The sequence below is a fragment of the Homo sapiens genome, chromosome 12 (genome assembly GCF_000001405.40).
Source record: "Homo sapiens chromosome 12, GRCh38.p14 Primary Assembly".
Lineage (NCBI taxonomy): Eukaryota > Metazoa > Chordata > Mammalia > Primates > Hominidae > Homo > Homo sapiens.
In genome coordinates, this window is record NC_000012.12 from 84033271 (window position 1) to 84058479 (window position 25209).

The window sequence follows — 25209 nt, forward strand, 5'->3', positions numbered from 1 at the left end:
TTGGAGCCAGAGTTGTAACATGCTGTAACACCTCCTTTGGGGCACCACGACTTCTGGGGTCTCAGAGTTTTTTGGACACCACCACGTTCTGCTTGTCCAGACACCAGCACCAAGGTGGAAGCTGCTTGTGGTCGAGCCTGGTCCAGCTGCAGCCTCTCACGGAGCCAGCACCTGTACCAGCCTGGAGCTGTCCACCAAACTGAAGCAGCCAGTACTCCTGATTTGCCCTTGGCAGGTGTGAGATCAAGGCCAGCAGTGTGACCTAAACGTAGCCTGCCCGGCCAAGTGGGTAGAGCAAGCCCAGAGGGTCTGAGTGAAACTCCAGCAAGAGGCGCCTCCTGTTGTGGAGGTTTCTGGCTGGCAAAGTGGCACCGAAAATATCCTGCATCTTTTTAGAGTAAATACTAGAGAGGAGGGAGGAAAATACTAGCTTCTGACTTCAGGTCAGAGGGAGAGGAAGCCAGAAACTGGCACTTAAGGGAGCAGCAATATGCTTTAAAAATATATATTGGCTGGGCGTGGTGGCTCACGCCTGTAAGCCCAGCACTTTGGGAGGCCAAGGCAGGCGGATCATGAGGTCAGGAGATCGAGACCATCCTGGCTAACACGGTAAAACCCCGTCTCCACTAAAAATACAAAAAATTAGCTGGGCGAGGTGGCGGGCGCCTGTAGTCCCAGCTACTTGGGAGGCTGAGGCAGGAGAATGGTGTGAAGCCAGGAGGCGGAGCTTGCAGTGAGCCCAGATCGCGCCACTGCACTCCAGCCTGGGAGACACAGCGAGACTTCGTCTCAAAAAAAAAAAAAAAAAAAAATCAAGGAACCAAGGAACTACACTGGACTATATCTCAAACAATATATTTTCATGAGTGTCAGTTTTATCAGTTCATTCATCCACATATCTTGTTCTTTGGCATCTACATACCAGAGTATACTTGACTTAAAATGTTGAGCAAAATGCTTCTTCACAAATACTAGATTTAATCAATTTGCAATATATTTCAAGAATTTATATAATCATTAATGTTTGTCTTCATGTGCAAAATACTCTAAAGAACCCTTTCAAAATTTAATTTAAATCCAGTTTTTGAGCAATTCTGATTTTAACAATTTTTCTGTAAGAGACAGCTTTTTTTTTCTCCACCTCTGTGTATGTGTCATTATTTAAAAGCTTTACCTCTTTCCCAGAAAGGTAGAATGGAAAGTCTATGAAATTAGAGTAGAAGAGCCTGACCTCTACTTTTTCTCACTGGGCTATTTTGAGACTTAATGAGATTTTCACTTGTTGCATGTTTGATATCTTTTGATAAGGGAAACTATATAAACATCAAATATTACTCTAGGCAAAGTGTTCATTAGTGCTTTATTTTTTATTAATATTTGCCAAAACCAAATTGGCACTGATTGAACTCTACAGAATGTTTGGAATCTGCGTGTTTTCTGTCAAAGTCATGTCAATATTCAGATGAATTCCATTTTCACAGGAACCCCAATAAAGTTATAGTCAAGATTAAAATTTGGGTATGAAATAACTATTAATGTGTAAAATACCTTCAGGAATTTATGCAGTAATGCAAAACTGTGATGAAATGCAATAAAAGCTAACTAAATTATAAAACTACTCAGAAAAATTGACAGAGTTGGATATATTATTATGATGAACATTGGCAATCTCATGTAATTGTACTATACCAATAGCAAAGGGAATATTCTTCAATTGCACAACGCATAATTTTTAGAATGAGGGAATCTGGCCAGGAAGAACTTTTAATGTTTATATTTCCTTCAGGAAAAGTGGTGTTTGTTATTGTTAAAGCACATAGTAAAAGTCTAATGACAGATTGTGAAAACCTGTGTGTGTGTGTGTGTGTGTGTGTGCGCATACACACATGCCTAAGGGTGAAAGTAATGAGAATCATGAAAGAGATGCTGTGTAGGTGAACTGAGCTAGCAATCTAGGGCATTACATGCTTGGTCTTTCACAGGGCTGAGTGTGACTTAATCTATGCATTAAACTTGATTTGAGATTAACGATTTTAAATCCATTTTTAAAAAGAAAATTAATTGCAGATTCTATAAAAATGTAAACTGCCCTTACTCATTCTCTCAATATCTGTTTATTGATAGTAAACCATGAATGTTAAAGATCTTAGGCACTAAAGACGTAGCAACAAACAACACAATATCTGTGCATCCATAGGGCTCTGCTTATATTCTATTAGGGGAGTAGGTAATGTTTTAAAAATGTTTTTTAGGGTATACATTTTATTACCCTAAAAATTTTAATATAAAATAGAGAGATTTAGACAGTAAAGACTGAGAAAGTGCCATTTTAAAAATTAATTAATTAGTTGTTTAATTCTAATAGCTTTTGGGGGTACAAGTATTTTTTGGTTAAATGGATGAATTCTATAGAGGTGAATTCTGAGATTTAGTGTGCCTGTCACCCAAGCAGTGTACACTGTACCCAATATATAGTCTTTTATCCCTCACTCCACTCCCACCCTTCCCCCACCGAGTCCTCGAAGTTCAGTATATTATTCTATATGTGTTTGTGTCCTCACAACTTATCTCCTGTTTATAATTGACAGCATACAATATGCGGTTTTCCATTCCTGAGTTATTTCACTTAGAATCATGGCTTCCAGCTCCATCCTAGTTGCTGCAAAAGACATTATTTCATTCAAGAAGGTGTCATTTAAAGAGAATGATAAAGGCAGGTGTCCTTGAGATAGTGATATTTGAGTGGAGATCTGAAAATGGGTGACAACATAATTATAAACAGAGATATCTAGTCTAAGAAGACAGAGGAGCATGAGTGTAAAAATACTTGTTTCTTTCAAAGAATGGTAATAAGGCCTAGGTGATTAGAGGAGTGCCTGGAGGGAATGATGGCATAGGCCAGGTCACGTAGGCACAGAACACGTACTGTTGGCCATAAAAAATTTAGATATTCATCTGTATTAAATGTAAATCCATTAAAGGGTTTTGAGCAACAACGTGACATTATTTGACTTATTTACATGTGAGAAAAGAAATAAAATATTTTAGATGAGTGTGGAAAGTTGCAGATTTAAGTAACTTTCTTGGAATATAGATACACACTTTTGAAACTACTAAGGTAGTAATCTAATCCTGATGAAATATTAATTCAAAATAGTACTTAAATGCATTTCACCTAGAGGGAATAACAACTTGGTTTATGCCAAGTATGTCCTCTAAATACTTTATTTTATTCTTTCTATAAAACATACTTATAAGATCTATGCACAGTTTTAATAGTCACAATAAAATGAACACATATGTATTCCCTACCCAGCTTATATTAAACCCCCACTGTCCCCTTTCAGAGATCTTTTATGGCTTTGGGTATATATATTTCTAAGAATATTACATTGTGTGATGTTATAAGTAGAACATTTAACACATATTTTTAATATCATGACACTTGTATATAAAAATTGAGTTTTATAAGTGAACCTCCTACCCCATGATTTTGAAAAATTGATTAGTTCTAGTCATTTTTCTAGCTTGCTTATAATTGTCTATATGAAGAATACTATTATCTGCAAATGGATACGGTTTTATTTTTATGCTCTAATCTTTATGCATTTTATTATTTCTCTTGTCTTCTTGTGATGACTGTTACTTCCAGAAAACGTTGATAAGAAGTAGTATGATCAGCCACTTTTTCCTGCTTTCCACATGTTAGGGGGAATTTGTTCATTTTTCATCATTAACTATTTTGCGAGTGTAGCTTTGTAGATACCCTTTATCAGATTGAAAAAGCTTCCTTCTATTGTTATGTTTCTGAGGATATTCATTATGAAAAAAAAGTTAATTTAATCACATTTTTCTCTTCATCTCTTGAGATAATACAAATGGAGGTTTCCTTTGACTGTCTTTTCCCTTAATTGTGGGTCACATTTGTCTGGTTCTTTTATCCCAAGTTTCAATCTGTACACCATGAACGTTATGTTAAAATGATTCTCAATTCAATTTTGTTTTGTACATTCTTCTATGAAGACTGTTGATGTTGGTTGGTCCATTTGTCTTAGCATGCAATTTCTTGGCTATACTCAAAGGAAAAACTCTGTCTCTTGGGCGGAAGCTTAAGTCTAAATTCAGTTATTTTATTTCCACAAAATGTGCTTAGTACATTTGTAATTCACAGATCAGTCAAATATTTGGAAAAATTTGTGCGCAGCATTTGGGGTTTCCAATATATATTTCTTCTTTTATTTTGATTTAAACTTCATTTTCTTTTTTCTTTTCTTTTTTTTTCTCTCCCTATTTGCTATGCCTGCACTGGCAGTCAACTTTCACAAGACTTTTTTTTTTAATTATACTTTAAGTTCTGGGGTATATGTGCAGAATGTGCATGTTTGTTACATAGGTATACACGTGCCATGGTGGTTTGCTGCACCAATCAACCTGTCATCTACATTAGGTATTTCTTCTAATGCTATTCCTCCCCTAGACCCCCAGTCCCTGACAGGCCCAGGTGTGTCATGCTCCCCTCTCTGTGTCCATGTGTTCTCATTGATCAACTCATACTTATATGTGAGAACATGTGGTGTTTGGTTTTCTGTTCTTGCATTAGTTTGCTGAGAATGATGGTTTCCAGCATCACCCATGTCCCTAAAAAAGACATGAACTCATCCCTTTTTATGGCTTCATAGTATTCCATGGTGTATATCTGCCACATTTTCTTTATCCAGGCTATCACTGATGGGCATTTGAGTTGATTCTAAGACTTTGCTATTGTGAACGTATTTTCATATGTTTCTTGGCAGCATAAATGTCTTCTTTTGAGAAGTGTCTGTTCATAACGTTTGCCTGCCTAATGGGGTTGTTTGTTTTTATTATTGTAAATTTGTTAATTTCTGTATATTGGTCAGGGTGGTGGGAGAAATTGTAGGAAAAACACAAACCTTCTTGGAAGGCCAGGGGATTTTGCAAAGCTTCAGGGAAGAATGAGCTGAAGGTAGCAGTTCTTACCCTGGGGAAAGGGCAAGAAGTAGGTACAAAAGAATGAAAGGGAGTTTATCTGAATAGCTTGTTTACTCATGTCTCCAGAAACCTGGCCTTTAATCATCTGCGACCACTCTCTCTCAGGGGGCCAGCGGGGGTGGTGGCGACCATGTGAATTGCCCACAGTGTGTTGACTCAAAGCCTTTGTCATTAATTCAATCTGTGCTGAATAAATGCCCGTAGGGTAAGCTTGTCAGGGCTGCGGCTGCTGACTCTTTACAGCACCTCCTGAGAGTCTGTAAGCGGTCCGGTCTCCTAGCCCACTCATTCACTGGATACTTGTGTCTGAGTGCATTCCTTCATCCTTCATTCTGCCAGGGTATGCGGGTCAGACCCGGCAAAGTTCCTTGTAGATTCTGGATATTAGCCCTTGGTCAGATGGATAGATTGCAAAAATTTTCTCCCATTCTGTCGGTTGCCTGTTCGCTCTGATGATAGTTATTTTGCTGTGCAGAAGCTCTTTGGTTTAATTGGATCACATTTTTCAATTTTGGCTTTTGTTGCCATTGCTTTTGGTGTTTTAGTCATGAAGTCTTTGCCCATGCTTATGTCCTGAATGGTATTGGCTAGGCTTTCTTCTAGGGTTTTTAAAGTTTTAGGTCTTACATTTAAATCTTTAATCCATCCAGAGTTAATTTTTGTATAAGATATAAAGAAGGGGTCCAGTTTCAGTTTTCTGCATATGGCTAGCCAGTTTTCCCAACATCATTTATTAAATAGGGAATCCTTTCCTCATTGCTTGTTTTTGTCAGGTTTGTCAAAATAAGATTGTTGTGGATATGTGCCATGATTTCTGAGGCCTCTGTTCTGTTCCATTGGTCTACATAACTGCTTTGGTACGAGTACCCTGCTGTTTTGGTTACTGTAGCCTTGTAGTATAGCTTGAAGTCAGGTGGGGTGATGCCTCCAGCTTTGTTCTTTTTGCTTACGATTGTCTTGGCTATGCAGGCTCTTTTTTGGTTCCACATGAAATTTAAAGTAGTTTTTTCTAATTCTGTGAAGAAAGTCAACAGTAGCTTGATAGGGATAGCATTGAATGTATAAATTACTTTGGGCAGTATGGCCATTTTCACGATATTGATTCTTCCTATCCATGAGCATGGAATGTTTTTCCATTTGTTTGTGTCCTCTCTTATTTCCTTGAACAGTGTTTTGTAGTTCTCCTTGAAGACGTCCTTCACTTCCCTTGTAAGTTGTATTCCTAGGTGTTTTATTCTCTTTGTAGCAATTGCGAATGGGATTTCACTTATGATTTGGCTATCTGATTTTCTATTATTGGTGTATAGGAATGCTTGTTATTTTTGCACCTTGATTTTGCATCCTGAAATTTTGCTGAAGTTGCTTATCAGCTTCTGAAGATTTTGTGCTGAGACAATGGGGTTTTCTAAATATACAATCATGTCATCTGCAAACAGAGACGATTTGATTTCGTCTCTTTTTATGTGAATAGCCTTTATTTCTTTTTCTTTTCTGATTGACCTGGCCAGAACTTCCAATACTATGTTCAATAGGAGTGGTGAGAGAGAGCATCCTTGTCTTGTGCCGGTTTTCAGAAGGAATGCTTCCAGCTTTTGCCCATTAAGTATGATATTGGCTGTCAGTTTGTCATAAATAGTTCGTATTATTTTGAGATACGTTCCATCAATACCTAGTTTATTGAGAGTTTTTAGCATGAAGGGGTGTTGAATTTTATCAAAGGACTTTTCTGCATCTATTGAGATAATCATGTGGTTTTTGTCATTGGTTTTGCTTATGTTATGTATTATGTTTATTGGTTTGCATATTTTGAACCAGCCTTGCATCCCGGGGATGAAGCCAACTTGATCATGGTGGATAAGCTTTTTCGATAAGCTGCTGGATTCGGTTTGCCAGTATTTAATTGAGGATTTTCACATTGATGCTCATCAGTGATATTGGTCTGAAATTTTCTTTTTTTGTTATGTCTCTGCTGGGTTTTGTTATCAGAATGATCCTGGCCTCATAAAATGAATTAGGGAGGAGTACCTCTTTTTCTATTGTTTGGAATAGTTTCAGAAGGAATGGTACCAGATCCTCTTTGTACCTCTGAAAGAATTCGGCTGTGAATATGCCTGGTCCTGGGCTTTCTTTTGGTTGGTAGGTTATTAATTACTGCCTCATTTTCAGAACTTATTATTGGTCTATTCAGGGATTCAATTTCTTCCTGATTTAGTCTTTGTAGGGTGTATGTGTCCAGGAATTTATCCATTTGTTCTAGATTTTCTAATTTATTTGCATAGAGGTGTTAGTAGTATTCACTGATGGTAGTTTATATTTCTGTGGGATCAGTGGTGATACCTCTTCATCATTTTTTTATTGTGTCTATTTGATTCTTCCCTCTTTTCTTCTTTATTAGTCTTCCTAGTGGTCTATTTTGTTAATCTTTTTTCAAAATACCAGCTCCTAAATTCATTGATTTTTTTGAAGGTTTTTTTGTTTCTCTATCTCCTTCAGTTCTGCTCTGATCTTAGTTGTTTCTTGTCTTCTGCTAGCTTTTGAATTTGTTTACTCTTACTTCTCTAGTTCTTTTAATTGTGATGTTAGGCTGTCAATTTGAGGTCTTTCTAGCTTTCTGATGTGGGAATTTAGTGCTATAAATTTCCCTCTAAACACTGCTGTAGCTCTGTCCCAGAGATTCTGGTACATTGTGTCATTGTTCTCATTGGTTTCAAAGAATGTACTTATTTCTGCGTTAATTTTGTTATTTACCCAGTAGTCATTCAGGAGATGGTTGTTCAGTTTCCATGTAGTTGTGTGGTTTTAAGTGAGTTTCTTAATCTTGAGTTCTAATTTGGTTGCACTGTGGTCTGAGACAATTGGGTATGATTTCCATTCTTTTGTATTTGCCGAGGAGTGTGTTACTTCCAATTATGTGTTCAATTTTAAAATAAGTGTGATGTGGTGCTGAGAAGAATGTACATTCTGTTGATTTGGGGTGGAGAGTTCTGTAGATGTCTATTAGGTCCGCTTGGTCCAGAACTGAGTTCAAGTCCTGAAAATCTGTCTTGTTGATCTGTCTAATATTGACATTACAGTGTTACATTCTCCCACTATTATTGTGTAGGAGTCTAAGTCTCTTTGTAGGTCTCTAAAAACTTGCTTTATAAATCTGGGTGCTCCTGTATTAGGTACATATATATTTAGGATAGTTAGCTCTTCTTGTTGCATTGATCCCTTTATTATTATGTAATGCCCTTCTTTGTCTCTTTTGATCTTTGTTGGTTTAAAGTCTGTTTTATCAGAGATTAGGATTGCAACTCGTGCTGTTTTTTTGCTTTCTATTTGCTTGGTAAATATTCCTCCATCTTGTTATTTTGAGCTTGTGTGTGTGTTTGCACATGAGATGGGTCTCCTGAATACAGCACACTGATGACTCTTGATTCTTTATCCATTTTGCCAGTCTGTGTCTTTTAATTGGAGCATTTAGCCCATTTACATTTAAGGTTAATATTATTATGTGTGAATTTAATCCTGTCAATATGATGTTAGCTGGCTATTTTGCCCGTTAGTTGATGCAGTTTCTCCATGGTGTAGATGATCTTTCCAATTTGGTGTATTTTTGCAGTGGCTGATACCATTTTTTCCTTTCCATATATAGTGCTTCCTTCAGGAGTTCTTCTAAGGCAGGCCTGGTGGTTACAAAACCTCTCAGCATTTGCGTGTCTGTAAAGGATTTTATTTTTCCTTTGCTTATGAAGCTTAGTTTGGTTGGATATGAAATTCTGTGTTGAAAATGCTTTTCTTTAAGAATGTTGAGCATTGGACCCCACTCTCCTCTGGCTTGTAGGGTTTCTGCAGAGACATATGCTGTTAGTCTGATGGGCTTCCCTTTGTGGGTAACCCAGCCTTTTTCTCTGTCTGCCCTTAACATTTTTTCCTTCATTTTGACCTTGGTGACTCTGACGATTATGTATCTTGGGGTTGCTCTTCTTGAGGAGTATCTTTTTGGTGTTCTCTGTATTTTCTGAATTTGAATGTTGGCCTTTCTTGCTAGGTTTCAGGAATTTCTCCTGCATAGTATCCTGCAGAGTGTTTTCCAACTTGCTTCCATTCTCCCCGTCACTTTCAGGTACACCAGTCAAACGTTTGGTCTTTTTCACATAGTCCCATATTTCTTGGAGGCTTTGTTCGTTCCTTTTCATTCTTTTTTCTCCAAACTTGTCTTCATGCTTTATTTCATTAAGTTGATCTTCAATCTCTGATATCCTTTCTTCTGCTTGGTCGATTCAGCTTGATACTCGTGTATGCTTCACGAAGTTCTCATGCTGTGTTTTTCAGTTCCAACAGGTCATTTATGTTCTTCTCTAAACTGGTTATTCTAGTTAGCAATTCCTCTAAACTTTTCCAATGTTCTTAGCTTCCTTGCATTGGGTTAGAACATACTCCTTTAGCTCGGAGGAGTTTGTTATTACCCACCTTCTGAAGCCTACTTCTATCAATTCATCAAACTCATTCTCCATCCAGTTTTGTTCCCTTGCTGGTAAGTAGTTGTGATCTTTGGAGGAGAAGAGGCATTCTGGTTTTTGAAATTTTCAGCCTTTTTGCATTGGTTTTTCCTTATCTTCCTGGAATTATCTACCTTTGGTGTTTGATGTTGGTGACTTTTGGTTGGGGTTCGTGTGTGAACATCCTTTTTGTTGATGTTGATGCTATTCCTTTCTGTTTGTTAGTTTTCCTTCTAACAGTCAGGCCCCTCTGCTTCAGGTCTGCTGGAGTTTGCGGCAGGTCCACTCCAGACCCTATTTGCCTGGGTATTCCCAGCAGAGGCTGCAGAACAGGAAAGATTGCTTCCTGTTTCTTCCTCTGGAAGACTTGTTCCAGAGGGGCATCAGCCAGATGCCAGCTGGAGCTCTCCTGTATGAGGTGTCTGTCAACCCCTGCTGGGAGGTGTCTCAGAGTCAGGAGGGATGGAGATCAGGGACCCACTTGAGATGGCAGTCTGTCCTTTAGCAAAGCTTGAGCACTGTGCTGGGAGATCTGCTGCTCTCTTCAGAGCTTACAGGCAGGGACGTTTAAGTCTGCTGAAGCTCTGCCCACAGCCACCCTTTCCCCCAGGTGCTCTGTCCCAGGGAAATGGGGGGGTTTATCTATAAGCCCATGACTATGGCTGCTGCCTTTCTTTCAGAGATGCCCTGCTTAGAGAGGAGGAATCCAATGAGGCTGTCTGGCTACAGCGGCTTTGCTGACCTGCGGTGGGCACCGCCCAGTTCAAACTTCAGTGGCTTTGTTTACACTGTGAAGGGAAAGCTGCCTACTCAAGCCTCAGTAATGGTGGACACACCTCCCCACACCAAGTTGGAGTATCCCAGGTTGACTTCAGTCTGTTGTGCTGGCAGCAAGAATTTCAAGCCAGTGGATCTAAGCTTGCTGGGCTCCGTGGGGGTGGGATCCACTGAGCTAGACCACTTGGCTCCCTGGCTTCAGACCCATTTCCAGGGAAGTCAACGGTTCTGTCTCGCTGGCATTCCAGTCACCACTGGGGTATGAGAAAACAAAACAAAACAAAACAAAACAAAAACTCCTGCAGCTAGCTTGGTGTCTGCTCAAATGGCCACCCAGTTTTGTGCTTGAAACCCAGGGCCCTGGTGGTGTAGGCACCCGAGGGAATCTCCTGGTCTGTGGGATGCGAAGACCTTGGGAAAAGTGTAGTATCTGGGCTGGAATGCACTGTTCCTCCAGGCAAAGTCCCTCACAGCTTCCCTTGGCTATGGGAGGGAGTCCCCAACCCCTTGCACTTCCCGAGTGAGGTGACAGAAGGAGCCAAGAAAGAGCCAAGAGACAGGAAAGGAAGTGATTTCAAGTTTAGGACAATTTAACATAAATTTAAGGAAAATAATTTTTAAAATCTAAAGCAGGAAGTGTTTCCTCAACTATAAGACCAAGAACCAGACCATTGGAAGTTAAGTGAAATAAATATTGAAAGTTATTTTAGGGCTCTTACCAGATGAAAAAAATAATTTCAAACTGGCTCAGGAAAAGACAGAAGAAAACAATAAAAAAACAGCAGCCAAAAATACAAGTAAACTAATTTAGTATTTAATCTTGCCAACATTAGTTATAGATGATTTGTAAGAAAAAGTCTGGCAGAATTCCACAAGAGAATATTAGAAATAGAATTAAAGAAAGAGTCTAGGCTTGTTGGCCATCCTCTCTTTGTGAATTCTCATCTGAATCTTCATTCTAAGCTGGAAATTCCTGTAGAATAGTTTATTTATGCAGCTTTCACAGTCAGAAAGATAGAGGAAAAATGAAAAAACTGAGGTGAAAACCAATGGCATACAAGGTGATGGTAAAAGAAAGGAGCATGCCAAATTCTTGGAGGCTGCAAGGTGCTAGGTAACAATATAAGTAGACACAAAGAAATTGATTACAAATTAGCCAACCATAATAATTTTGCAGTGATTTAAAAGCAATTAGGGTCGCATCATCATGTTAAAATCGCTTTAATATTCAACTTATCTGTCACCTGTCAAAACAAGTTTTTTTAAATAGTTTTCATGTAAAATATTTGGTTGGAAATTCAAGAAGATTCAATCTTTGATTATATTTTAATGAATAAAGGACATGAATAAAATAAATCCTACCAACAATCGGATTGATTTTTATTATAATATATACTGATGATTGAAATTTGCAGGGATAATTTTATGATTAAAATTTATGTGCCTGGATATGCCAGAAACCAGATAATAAATGCACAGAGAAATGATACACCTTCAGTTTGGCACATTAGATTTATTGATTTTGAGAGAGATTTATGTTAAGGACTTTCTAAAGTTGTGTTTTCAAATGACCCCCAACACCAAAAGGCTGACCTTGTATAGAAAGAATTATCGGTCATTTAAAAAAAATTTCTCCTGACCAATATCCAATTCAATCTATTAAAAACAAGGGGAGAAATTTGTTTGAATGAAGAACAACATTTCATAGGAAGAATTTATGAGTAATTATCTTAGAAAATATGGTTTTTCTCATTTCCTCACCTCACTTCCTCCTAAAATGTTTTGGATAGTTCCCAAGTGTTATTTCATATACTTAAATCCAAGGTGTAATAGGTTACTCTATTTCCCTGTTGATTTTAACTCTAAAATGTGGATTCAGGATTACACTCCACTTCTCTATTACTAGTTTAGCTTTTTGGCATGTTATCTTCTTTTCAAATTTTATTCTAATGTAACAAAATTGCTCTCTAACAATTCACAGAAGAAAACAAATTGATGTTTTGCTTAATTCTTTAACTTTTTTTCTTATTTTTACTGCTATATATAGACAAGTTCAAAGCTATGTCTTATATCTGAGAAAATAAACCCTGCATGCCAGACACCAAGAAATATTCAATTTGTAGTAGCTGAAAACTATAATCTGAATGTTAGGATATTCTTTTATTATTGTTGCTATTATTATGTTATTATAGTTCAAGAAAGTTATCTCAATTTACCCTCTGAGGTAAAATATTATCCCTTTGGTAGGTCTTATTACGGCAAGACATGAGCTTTTAAATATTTTTATTAACTTGATACACAGTTTTTTTTTTGTTTGTTTGTTTTTTGTTTTTGACAGAGTCTCGCTCTGTCACAAGGCTGCAGTGCAATGGCACAAACTTGGATCTCGGCTCACTGCAATCTCTGCCTCCCAGGTTCAAGCAATACTTGTGCTTCAGCCTCCCAAGTAGCTTGGATTACAAGCACATACCACCTTGCCCAGCTAATTTTTGTATTTTTAGTAGAGACAGGGTTTCACCATGTTACCTAGGCTGCTCTTGAACTCCTGACCTCAGGTGATCTACTTGCGCTGGCCTCCCAAAGTGCTGGGATTACAGGTGTGAGCCACCATGCCCAGCCTCACAGTCGCTTTCTTGACAGGCTATTTGAAGAGTTTTCACACAGTTATTATAACGACATTAATCAGCAGCATGTAATCTATATTTGAAATGTTAAATCTATTGCACAATTATTTCTGTATTTTATTTATGTTCTTTTTATGAAAAATGTATTTCTTTCTCTGAAGTTTTTTTATTTCAGTATTTAGGAGGTACAAGTGCAGCTTTGTTACATGGATACACTGCACAGTGGTGACATCTGGGCTTTCAGTGTACCCATCATCCAAATAGTAAACACTGTACCCAGTAGGTAGTTTTCCAACCTTCCCACCCTCTCATCCACCTTTGGGAGGCTCCAATGACTACTTTTTAACTTTGTATGTCCATGTGTACCCATTGTTTAGCTCTCACTTATACATGAGAACATGCAGCATTTGACTTACTGTTTGAGTTTTTTCACTTAAGATAATGGCCATCAGTTCCATTCATGTTGAAACAAAACAAACAAACAAAAAAACTCTGATTTCATATTTTTTAATGGCTGAGTAGTATTCCATGGTGTGTGTGTGTGGATACACACCATCTTTTCTTTATCCAGTCCTCCACTGATGGACACAGGTTGGGTCCATGAGTTTGCTACTATAGTGTTGCAATAAACACACAAGTGCAAGTGTCTTTTTTATGTAACGATTTTGTTTCCCTTTGGTAGATATCCCGTGGTGGGATTGCTGGATCAAATGGTATTTTTAGTTCTAGTTCTTTGAGAAATCTTGATACTGCTTTCCATAGAAGTACTAGTTTATATTCCCACCAACAATGTTTAAGTGGTTACTTTTCTCTTTATTCTTGATGACATCTGCTGTCTTTTGACTCATTAGTAATAGCCATTCTGACTGGTGTAAGATGGTATCTTATTGTGGTTTTAATATGCCTTTCTCTGATGATTAGTGATGTTAAGCATTTTTTCATGTGCTTTTTGACCACATCCATGTCTTCTTTTGAAAAATGTCTATTCGTGACCTTCGCCCACTTTATAATGGAGTTTATTTGTGTTTTTTTCATTGAGTTGTTGGAGGTCCTTGTGGAATCTAGATATTAGATTTTTGTCAGATGCACAGTTTGCAAATGTTTTCTCCTGTTCTGCACATTTTGTTTACTCTGTTGATTATTTCTTTTGCTATGCAGCACATTCAAAAGATTACATAATAGAATTAAGTGGGGTTCACTCCTGGTATACAAGGATGGTTCCTGAGAAATATCTTTCTAATAAACTCTACTATTCTTCAATGCAAATATTCAAATTTGAAAAAAAAAACGTTTATTTCTCATGTGGCTCCAAGTAATTATTATTATTTTTTATTTTGCAAATATATTTGTGTATCTACTACATGCAGTCACTACTCTAAGCATTGAAAGTGAAATGGTAAGTCAAATGAAAGTTGCTTCAGCCTCTCTGGTGAGTACAGATTTCATTAAGAAAATGGATATTCTGATATAAATTAAAGAAACATAATTTCAAAGTAAGGAAAAGTACAGAGTACTGTGAAATTTTAAAAGGTAAAAGGTGAACTGCTACATTATGTATGTAATGTAATGGATGAATTTCCTGAATAGGTGAACATTTAGTTGACATCTAAAGAAAAAGTAGGAATTAATAAAGCTAATAAATGAAGAAATACCACATATTAGAAATATATAAAGTTCCAAGGGAAAGAGGGAGAACAGTGGTGTCAAATAACTGAAAGACAGTGATTGTTATCCCCATTTTGAGCTAAGGCTTAGAGTGACATAATCTTACAGTAGCCTAGAGTGACTTTATCAACATCTCACTGCTAAGCAGATGGAAGTATATCTAAATTCAAACTGTTTTTTTCTTATGATAAAATCTCCTGATGGTATAGTTAAATCCAAAATTGTAATCACAATATGGAAGAACTGTCATGGTTTGGCCTCTCTTACGATCTAATTTTCTATTCCATTTTATCATATGACATATATTCCAGCCAAATAAAATGGTAATATCTTAGAAATCACAAACCAAACCTCATTCATATTTCTAGCCCCTCAGGACCTGGCAAAATATCTTGCTGTTGTAGAAACTCAATACATATTTATTGAATTATCATTGAAATTCCTATTGCCATGAAAGTGTGGTTTCAACTGTAAAACAGAAAATGTATAGTGCATATCAAACAAAATGCAGAAGTAGTTTTGTTTATTGTTGCAATTTTTTTTGAGTAGAAAAATGTACTTCACCAACATAATATGATAAACAAATTTTTATGATAACTGTTGCCCAACATAGAGTGGGTCATTTTCAGTAAAGGATTAATTAACCCCTTAGGAAAAGAAGTATGGTCTCAAATATATAAAATTATATAAAATTATAAAATATTTTAAAGATTTTTTTCATAAACAAATAATTTATGTCATCTTGCTTCATTTTACACAGTTTTAAAGAGGGCTTAAATGTTAAATATTTTTGAAATATAGTAGGCTATGAAAAACAATAATTAATATTTCTTATCTCAGAAACCCAGTTCATTGTTGCCTGCAATTCTGTGACCTGCTTTGTATAGTCAATTTATAATGGAGAATTGTCATATGAATTAATAAACTGATAAGTTCACTTTTCAATTACACTTACAAAGTGACATTACTAAATAAACTCATTTTCTAATTATAAAATACAATTGAGGTATTATTTGAGTTACATTCATTAGTAAAGTTTCTAATTCAATTCTAAAGCTTGATGGTTGGCATTTTATTATGATGACTTACATTCTTGGTATATAGTGGTTTTGTTATATTATTCCTTTTTTTGTGTATGTCCCTATTGCACTTATGCCTTCTAACCAGTTATCTGACTCTAAGCTCTGTCTGTTTAGGGAGAAACCTGTAACAAAGCCTAAGACAACAACTTTGAGTGAATACTTCTCTATGATGAAGCACGAGTTTTTATTACTCCTCTGCCGGTAGATAGGGTAGGGTGAGACATCCACAGAGATGGCGATGAATAATTTAAATAAATTTCTTACTTAAATGTCACAGCAATCTTTTCAGGAATAAATACTTCCCATTCCCATTTAATATGAGGAATGAGGTACTCTTCTGGACACACAGCAGTAAGAATTATTTGGCTGTTTTCCTCCTATAATTAGGGTCCATATAGTTGTAGCCTCCTCAGTTATCCATGAAGCTGTGCTACTTCTTAGGTGGTAGACCCACTGGTTGTGTTTTTGCTTGAGATTGCTTAACAGAGCTCTCACTCTTCTGTGTTCTATCTGTATGAGCTTGGGAAATTTATGTAAGCTTCCTAAGCTCCAGTTTATTTCTATGTAAAATAAAGATAATAATAACACTCATATTTTAGGGTTATTGGGATAAGTAAATAGCATAAAGTGTGTAAAAAACACAGCCTGCTGCCTGGCACTGAATCACTTTTGCTGATATTATTTTTTTAATTAATTAATTAATTCATATTTTTTAACTGAAAAATAAAATTGAATATATATTATGGTAGGCAACATGATGTTTTAAAATGTGTATACATTAAAGAACAGCTAAGTCAAGCAAATTCCCCTCAGGACCTGGCAAAATACCTTGCTGTACTAGAAACTCAATAAATATTTATTGAATTTTCATTAAAATTTCCATTGCCAATTAAGTGTGATTTCAACTATAAAAAAACATATTTGATAGTGTATATCAAATAGAAAAGTAGAAGAGATTTTGTTGGTTGTATTTGTTTTGAGAATAAAAACTAATTTATACAAAATAATATGATAAATAATATGCACTAATTTACATACTTATTTTTCTGTGTTTGGTGAAAACACTTAAAATCTATTCTCTTGGCAATTTTCAACTATACAATGTATGTTATTAACTACAGTTTCCATGCTGTACAATAGATCTCAAATTTATTCTTCCTAACTAAAACTGTGTATCCTTTGACCAGCTGTTATTATTCTTAATTGCAGAAACATTAGAAACTAACCTAAGCAGAATTTGAGGCTCCTTCTTAGCCTCTTGTGTTTAAATAAGTTACCTCTATTCCAGGCATCTGTAGAACTAGAACAGGTTTACTACCTCTAAGGATTTTTTAAAGATAAAAAGGATATGTGTAAAGTGCTCCTAGCACAGTGCCTGACATATTGTAAGGACTTCACACACAAATGTTTCTTACTAGTCATTGTATGAATTATCTTGGTTACGACTTTAATGAAAAGGGAATGGTGTGCCAACAGCAGATGCAAGGACCACCAGCTGAATTTTAAATCTTTATGAGTTTTTAAATCTTTATGGGACACTATTTGTGTAACAGTATTTGGGTTGGGAGAGGTCCTCAAAGGTGCCAAGTTGCAAGTGTATGATTTATGTGGCTGTTCAGAGTAATAGGTTATAAAGAGACTTGGTTATTAACATGGTAAATCTGCTTTTTAAAGTTTAACAGCATTACATAATTAAATCAGAACTTATGTTTTTAATGTATAATAATGCAAATTTTACAACCTTTTAGAATATAGGTTTTTAAATTAATTTTGCCAGAGCAAATACCTTAAAGTATGTAGACTTATTTAAGTAACTCTTTAAGCACATTAAGCAGCTACCTTATTATTATTAAAGTAGCCTCAGTGAAATTACAAGTATGGTCTTATTAAAATACTTTAATTTTAAATATAAAATTTATTTTTCTTGTTTCTGTGAAAAGGCTTTACTAATTACCAAGAGACATCTGTGGAAACACTGTAAGCTTGGTGATCAGCTGTAAGAATTTGGTGATAAGAACCAATCATTATATAATTAAAGATTTAAAGTTATTATTTGTATAAAATTAGCTACTAAACACTTTTTATTATTTCAGAATATGACTAGCAACATTTACATTATAACTGTTTTGATTTTACTAAGTTTTACATTATCTTATTAAATCATATCCAGAGGTGAGTGATTTATAAAATTTATAGGAAACAATCTGAGGATTACAGATGATGAATGCTGTGTATCTGAACATGGGCGTTCCCATACATGGTTCTTTAACTAAATTCAACTATATGTGATCACTTGCATATATAAATATATATATGTACATACACATATATACATATATATAAAACTCTTAGAATTTGAAATGTATTCTGGTAAATATGACAGATTTATATGTTATTTATTTATATAGATGTAATTCAACAGATTAAGAACATATACAGGCAATTTACAAAATTATAAAAGGAGATTTTGACTATATGTGTCATACATATTCATTTTAGAACTTGGCTCAAATAAAATGAGGTACCTCTGCACATGTTTTCAACATTTGTGCAAACAACATAATTTTAATTAACATTTTACTCAGTGTGCTATACAGCAAAAAAATTATTAAATGTATCAGTGATATAAGAAAAATAAATCATTATGTTTTTAGTTACGTGATTATTTTCTGCTATTTATTTTACTCAACTTTATAGAGGTATAATTGACAAATAATTATATATATTTAAAGTGTACGAGGTGATGTTTTGATAAACATATGAATTGATTACCACTATAACACTAATTAATATAGCCATCCCCTCACATCGTTACTGTCTTGCATACGCTGAGAACATTTAAGCTCTCTTAGCAAATTTCAAGTGTACAATACAGCTTACTGACTCTAGCCACCATGCTGTACATTAGATCTGCTTCCTTTAAATTGAAACTTTGTACTCTTTGATCAACATGTTTGAGCAACAAAGGCCAACCCTGGTAACCACCTTCCTATTATCTGCTTCTATTATTTAGACTTTATTAGATTCCACATTTAATGAGATCATATAGTATTTGTCTTTCTGTGCTTGGCTTATTTCACTTAGCATAATGTCCTCCACATTCATTCATGTTGTCACAAATGACATAATTTTCTGCCTTTTTTTTGGAGTTGGGGGGACAGGGTCTCACTCTGTCTCCCAGACTGGAGTGCAGTGGCTAAATCTCAGCTCACCGCAACCTTCGCCTCCCAGGCTCAAGCGATTCTCCTGCCTCAGCCTCCTGAGTAGCTGGGATTATAGGCACATGCTACCACCATCCAGCTAATTTTTGTATTTTTAGTAGAGATGGGGTTTCACCATGTTGGTTAGGCTGGTCTCAAACTCCTGACCTCAAATGATCCACCTGTCTGGGCTTCCCAAAGTACTGGGATTACAGGCATGAGGAACCAGGCCCTGCCAATTTTCTGCTTCTTCAGAAGAAAATATTTTAGAAGCATATTTCATTGTATATTTACATCACCATATTTTTTAATCCATTGATCCATCAATTAGCTTGATTCTGTATCTTGGCTATTGTGAATAATACTGCAGTGAATATTGGGATGTAGATATCTCTTCAAGATACTAATGTCATTTCCTTTGGGTGTATACCTGGAAGTAAGATTGTTGGGTCATATGGTTGTTCTATTTTTAAATTTTTGAAGAACTTCCATACTATTTTTAACAATGGCTGTATCAATTTGCATCCCTACCAATAATATACAGATTTCCCTTTTCCGCACATTCTCACCAACACTACTCTCTTTTTATTTTTTCTTTTCTTTTTATTTTTTTTTTTGTTTTTTGTATGTACATAGTAGTTACATATATTCATGGGGTACATGAGATATTATGGTAGAGACACAAAATGTGTAATAATCACATCATGGAGAATGGGGTATCCAGCCCCCGATGCATTTATTCTTTGTGTTACAAACAATCCAATTACATTCCTTTAGTTATTTTTTAATGTACAAATAAATTATTATTAATTATAGCCACCCTGCTGTACCAGCAAATATTGTCCTGTTCATTTCTTCTAAATTTTTCTGTACTCATTAACCATCCACACCTCTCCCCCGACCCCCACTACACTTCCCAGTTTCTGGTAACCATCCTTCTATTCTCTATCTCAATGAGTTCAATTATTTTGACTTTTTAGATTCCACAGATAAGTGAAAACATGCGATGTTTTTTCTGTGCATGGCTTATTTCACTTAACATAATGACCTCTAGTTTCATTTATGTTTCATTCCACTTGAGTTTTTGCAAATGACAGACTCATTCTTTTTTATGGCTGAATGGTACTCTACTGTGCGTAACTACCACATTGTCTTCATCTATTCATCTGTTGATGGACACTTAGGTTGTTTCCAACACTTTTTATCTTTTATCTTTTTGATGATAGCCATTATAAAAAATGTGAAGTGATAGTGTGATTTTGATTTGCATTTCACTGATTATAAGTGAGGTTGAACATTTTTTTCATATACCTGTTGCCATTTGTCTTCCTTCTTTTGAGAAATGTCCACTCAGGTCTTTTGTTCATTTTTTTTTTAACTGGGCTATTTGTTTTCTTGCTATTGAGCTAAGTTTCTTTCTTTCTTTTTCTTCCTTTCTTTTCTTCTTTTCTTTCCTTCCTTCCTTTCTTTCTTTCCTTCCATTCTTTCCTTCCTTTCTTTCTTTCCTTCCTTTCCTTCCTTCTTTCCTCTCTTTCCTTCTTTCCACTCTTTCCTCTTTTTCCTCTCTTTCTCTTTCTTTCTCTCTTTCTTTCTTCCTTCACAGTCTTGCTCTGTTGGCCAGGCTGGAGTGCAGTGGCATGATCTCAACTCACTGCAACCTCCATCTCCAGGGCTCAAGCAATTCTTCTGCCTCAGCCTCCTGAGTATCTGGGATTACAGGCATGAGCCACTGCTCCTGGCCAAGTTTCTTGTATATTTTGGATATTAACTCCTTGTTGTATATATGACTTGCAAATATGTTCTCCCATTCCATTGGTTTTCTCTTCACTCTGTTAATGTATTCTTTGCTGTGCAGATGTTTAGTTTGATGGAATCCAATTTGTCTACTTTTTCGTTTTGTTGCCTGTGTTTTGGGGGTCATAACCAAAATAATATTTCCAAGATCAATGTCAAGAAGTATTTTTTTAATGTGTTTTTTTCTGGTAGTTTTATAGCTGCAGGTCTTATATTCAAGCCTTTTATTTTGGATTGCTTTTTGTATGTGGTCTGAGATAAGCATCCAGTTTCATTCTTCTGCATGTAGACATACAGTTTTCTTAAAAGCATTCATATTTTTCTATTGTGTGTTCTTGGAACTTTGTCAAATTATCAATTGACTGTAAATGTGTGGATTTATTTATGATACCTTTATTTTGTTATTGTTCTATATGTCTGTTTTATGACAGTGCCATACTGTTTTTATTAGTAAAACTTTGAAGTAGATTTTGCAACCAAATAGTGTGACAACTCCAGCTTTGTTTTTTGTTGTTTGTTTGTTTTTTCTCTATATTGCTTCAGCTATTCTGGGCTCTTAGTAATTTTATATGAGTTTTAGCTTTTCTTTTCCTATTTTTGTGAAAAACGCCATTGGGAGTTTGATAGGAAGTGCACTGGATATGTATACTGCTTTGAGAAGTATAAATAAAATAAGATTAATTATTCTAATCCATAAATATGATATATCTTTCTATTAATTTGTGGCATCAACTTCCTTCATCAATTTTTATTGTTTACGGTATCCAAATCTTTCAAATTCTTTGCTATATTTATATTTATATTTTAACTTTTTGATGCTATTGTTAATGGGATTGTTTTCATAATTTGTTTTTTTAATAGTTTGACGTTTGTTTCTATACAACTGTTTCTTTTTATGTTGACTCTGTATCCTGGAACCTTACTGAATTTGTTTATTAGCTTAAATAGTTTTTGGTGTAATATTTAGTGTTTTTTATATATTAAGAAAATGTCATCTGCAAACAGAGGCAATTCTACTACTTACTTATTGTTTAGATCATTTTATTTCTTTTTCTTGCCTTATTGTTCTGGCTAGAACTTCCAGAACTATATTAAATAAAAGTGACGAGAGTGGCAATTTTTGTCTTTTTCCTGATCTTAGAAGACAAGCTTTTAGTTTTTCTTGATTGATGTGGTTTGGCAATGTGTCCCCAGCTAAATCTCATCTGGAATTATAATTTATAATCCCTTCGTGTCAAGGGAGGGAGGTAAATGGATCATGGGGCAGTTTCCTCAATGATGTTGTTGTGAGTTGATGTTCTCATCAGATCTCATGATAGTGAGTTCTCAAAAGATCTGATGGTTTTATAAATGTTTAGAAGTTCTTCATTTACTCTTTTCTTTCCTGCTGCCTTGATAAGAAGGTCTTTGTTTCCCCTTCACCTTCCACCGTGATTGTAAGTTTCCTGAGTCCTCCCTAGCCATGTGGAACTAGGTGTCAAAACTTTATCCTTTATAAATTACCCAGCCTCGGGTATTTCTTTATAGCAATGTGAAAATGAACTAATACAACCATTGAGTATGTTAGCTGTGGGTTTGGCATATATGGTTTTCATTATTTTGAAGGTCATCCTTTTATTCCCAGTATGTTGAGAATTTTTATCATGAAAGTGTATTAATTTTTATCTCAAGTATTTTCTGCACCTATTAAGATGATCACGTAATTTTTATCCTGTATTATGCTAATATGATGTATTTCTGTTATCTTATAAGTTTGGTTTCAATGGTTAACAAATCAAGGGCCTTTTGGCTGGGCAAGGTGGCTCACACCTGTAATCCCAGCACTTTGGGAGGCTGAGGCGGGTGGATTACCTGAGGTCAGGAGTTCGCCAACATGGTGAAACCCTGTCTCTACTAAAAATACAAAAATTAGCCAGGTGTGGTGGCACATGCCTGTAATCCCAGCTACTTGGGAGGCTGAGGCAGGAGAATTGCTTGAGCCTGGGAGACGGAGGTTGCAGTGAGCCGAAATCATGCCACTGCACTCCAGCCTGGCCGACAGAGAGAGACTCTGTCTCAAAAAGAAAAAAAAAAGGGGGGGGCCTTTTAATTAATTGCAAGCTGATGTAACATTATAAGCTATTTATTGATAAGGTTAATCAATTATTATTTGTCTTTAAATTCAAATATCCATATACAACCTAAATTCAAATATAAGAAATTAAGTAAGATATGAGGAAATCATACTGGCACAGTTAAAAATAATTACATTCAGGATAAATCATTAATTCAGTCAGCACAAATGAGGGTCATATAGCAAGCAATGTTCTAGGCACCAGAGATACAACAATGAATAAACAGAAAGACAAAAGAAAAACATTGCCTATAAGAGTTTTCCTTCAGTGAGAAAATCAGGTAAGAACTAAGGTAAATAATTAAAATAATTACATGGTAAATGGTGATACTTGCTGAAGAGAGAAATAAAGGATGTTATAGAAGGTGGTTGTTGGAGAGTTGCATAACAAGAAGTATTGGAGTTTTCAAAATTAAACATAATAGATGGGAAGAGTTTCATTGAGAAAGTGACAATTTGTTAAACAATTGAATGTGGAGAGGAAGTAAGCCAGCAGGTAAAGGAGGGAAGAACATTTTAGGTAGAGCAAACAGAAATACAGATGGCCTGAGGTAGAAGCATGCCTAGCATGTTTATAAAAGAGTTAGGAGATCAGTATGAGAAAAAAGATAGCAACAGGAAAAGAAGTCAGAAAGATAAAGGGGGCTTAAAATGTGTAGAGCCTTTTCGAATATTATAAGAAATTTGATTTTTACTCTGTGGTGGGAATACACTAGATGTTTCGCTATAAGAATAATATGGTCTGACTTCTGTTTTGACTGGATCATTCCGATGACTGTGTCAGGAAAAGATTGGAGCTGTTTAAGGGTGGAAGCCAAGGCACTATTTGGAAGACTGGTGAAAATAAATCAGGAAAAATATGATGGTGGTTTAGGCTAGGATGGAAGCAGTAGAAATAGTGAGAAGTGGTCAAGATTGCTGAAGGCCTTTGTTTAGTCTAGGGTGTAATATAAAGAGAGGAGTCGGGTAAGATACTGAGTTTTTTGGCCTGTGCAGCTTGAAAATAAAATTGTCTTTTGCAGAGGTGGTGAAGAAACAAACTTATCGGGATAGAAAGGATGAGGAGCTCAGTTTTCAGTATGCTGATTTGATATTCTTATTATACATGTGGATGAAAACACCAAATAAGAAGTTCATTATGAGTAAAGTGAGGAGAGAGCTGTGGTCTCAAGATACCAATACAGAAGTTGTTGGAATATTTAAAGAAATTAAGTATTCTCCAAGGATTTAACAAAACTTAAAAAATAAATGAAAAGGAAATTCAAAGAGGTACATTTGGGACAACTCTTAGGGTTTGGGGAAGATGAGCTCATAAATCAAAGATGAGCAGAAACCCCCATAAATATAGAAGATAAACTGTGAAATGGTGGATTACAGGAAACCAGATGAAAACACGAGGTGGGAATGAGGGATGAACTTTGACAGTAGAATGGGTATTGAGAATTGATTTTACTCTAAACTTTTAGTTAGAATTCTGAAATTCAAAGGAATCTTAGTTTATTCAAAACAATATAATAATTTTATAAATTAGAAAGTGAAGATAATTTTTAATTATGTTTCAATACTGACCAGATAATTATATTAATAGAAAGTTGTGACCATATTCAAGAATAACAAATAACCGATTCTCAGACTACACATATAGAAATCTATGAGTGTAGAAATGAAGTTTTCTGGGACTAAAAGCATGTAAAACAAGAGAAAGAAGACATAATTCTTGGCTCTTTAAAATAATAACTCTGAGACAAAAATACCCAGTTTTAGACTAGTGTTACTTTTTCTTCATCCTCTGCTCATTACCTCCTTTGCTTTTCATGTCTCTAATTGTTTTTCCTTTGGCCACTCCTTACTTGACTGGACATTTTCTGCCACACTCAAAAGTGTAGAGCTTAGTGGCATACTGAAAATTTTCTGCTTGCCTTCTGAATTAAATCTGAGGTTCACTGGCCGCCTTCTAATTATTTCACCTCCTTTATTTCTCCTTGTTGCAGTTTTACTGAGCCCCTTATTTTGACAGGTATGATTGATGTTCTTATAACACATTTATAATCTCTAGCCAATTGGCATTTAAAGCATAGACTTCTGGGCATTTTCTTAAACTTCTTAATTTTTAATATACTTTTGTGTAAGAATGAAAATCCCTTTGTTCACTTCTCGGACCCCTTCATGGTTTAGTCTCACCATGTGACTAGTTCTGGCCAATGAACTGTTAAAGAACGTATAGTAACACTCCCAGGCCAGGGTACTTAATTGCCAATAATAAGATCCTCTAGAGTTTCCTCCACTCTTGCACATTGATGGCAATTTGAGATTGGCGTTGCTCCAGCAGTCAGCGTTCTTAAGAACTGTGATAAGCAGAGCATGCTCTCCCCTCTCTACTGAACTGTGATAAGCATGGTGAAAAAAAAAAAGTCCTTGTTGTTTTAAACCCTTTAGTTTGAGGTAGTTTTGGTTTTTGTT

At 35.6% G+C, this 25209-nt stretch overlaps 1 long non-coding RNA gene across 2 annotated transcripts in view, besides 1 other annotated feature; it reads right to left on the minus strand.

The window, feature by feature from the left end:
• Nucleotides 1–25209, minus strand: part of LOC107984536 (uncharacterized) — a 297729-nt gene that overhangs the window by 144423 nt on the left and 128097 nt on the right. The window lies entirely within an intron of this gene.
• Nucleotides 9719–9909: a silencer, noted in NCBI's record as "fragment chr12:84436768-84436958 (GRCh37/hg19 assembly coordinates)". NCBI's record gives its function as "represses an EF-1alpha promoter that drives an FKBP-Casp9 reporter gene in an ReSE screen in HepG2 liver carcinoma cells {active_cell/tissue: HepG2}" and the evidence as "EXISTENCE:reporter gene assay evidence [ECO:0000049][PMID:32094911]".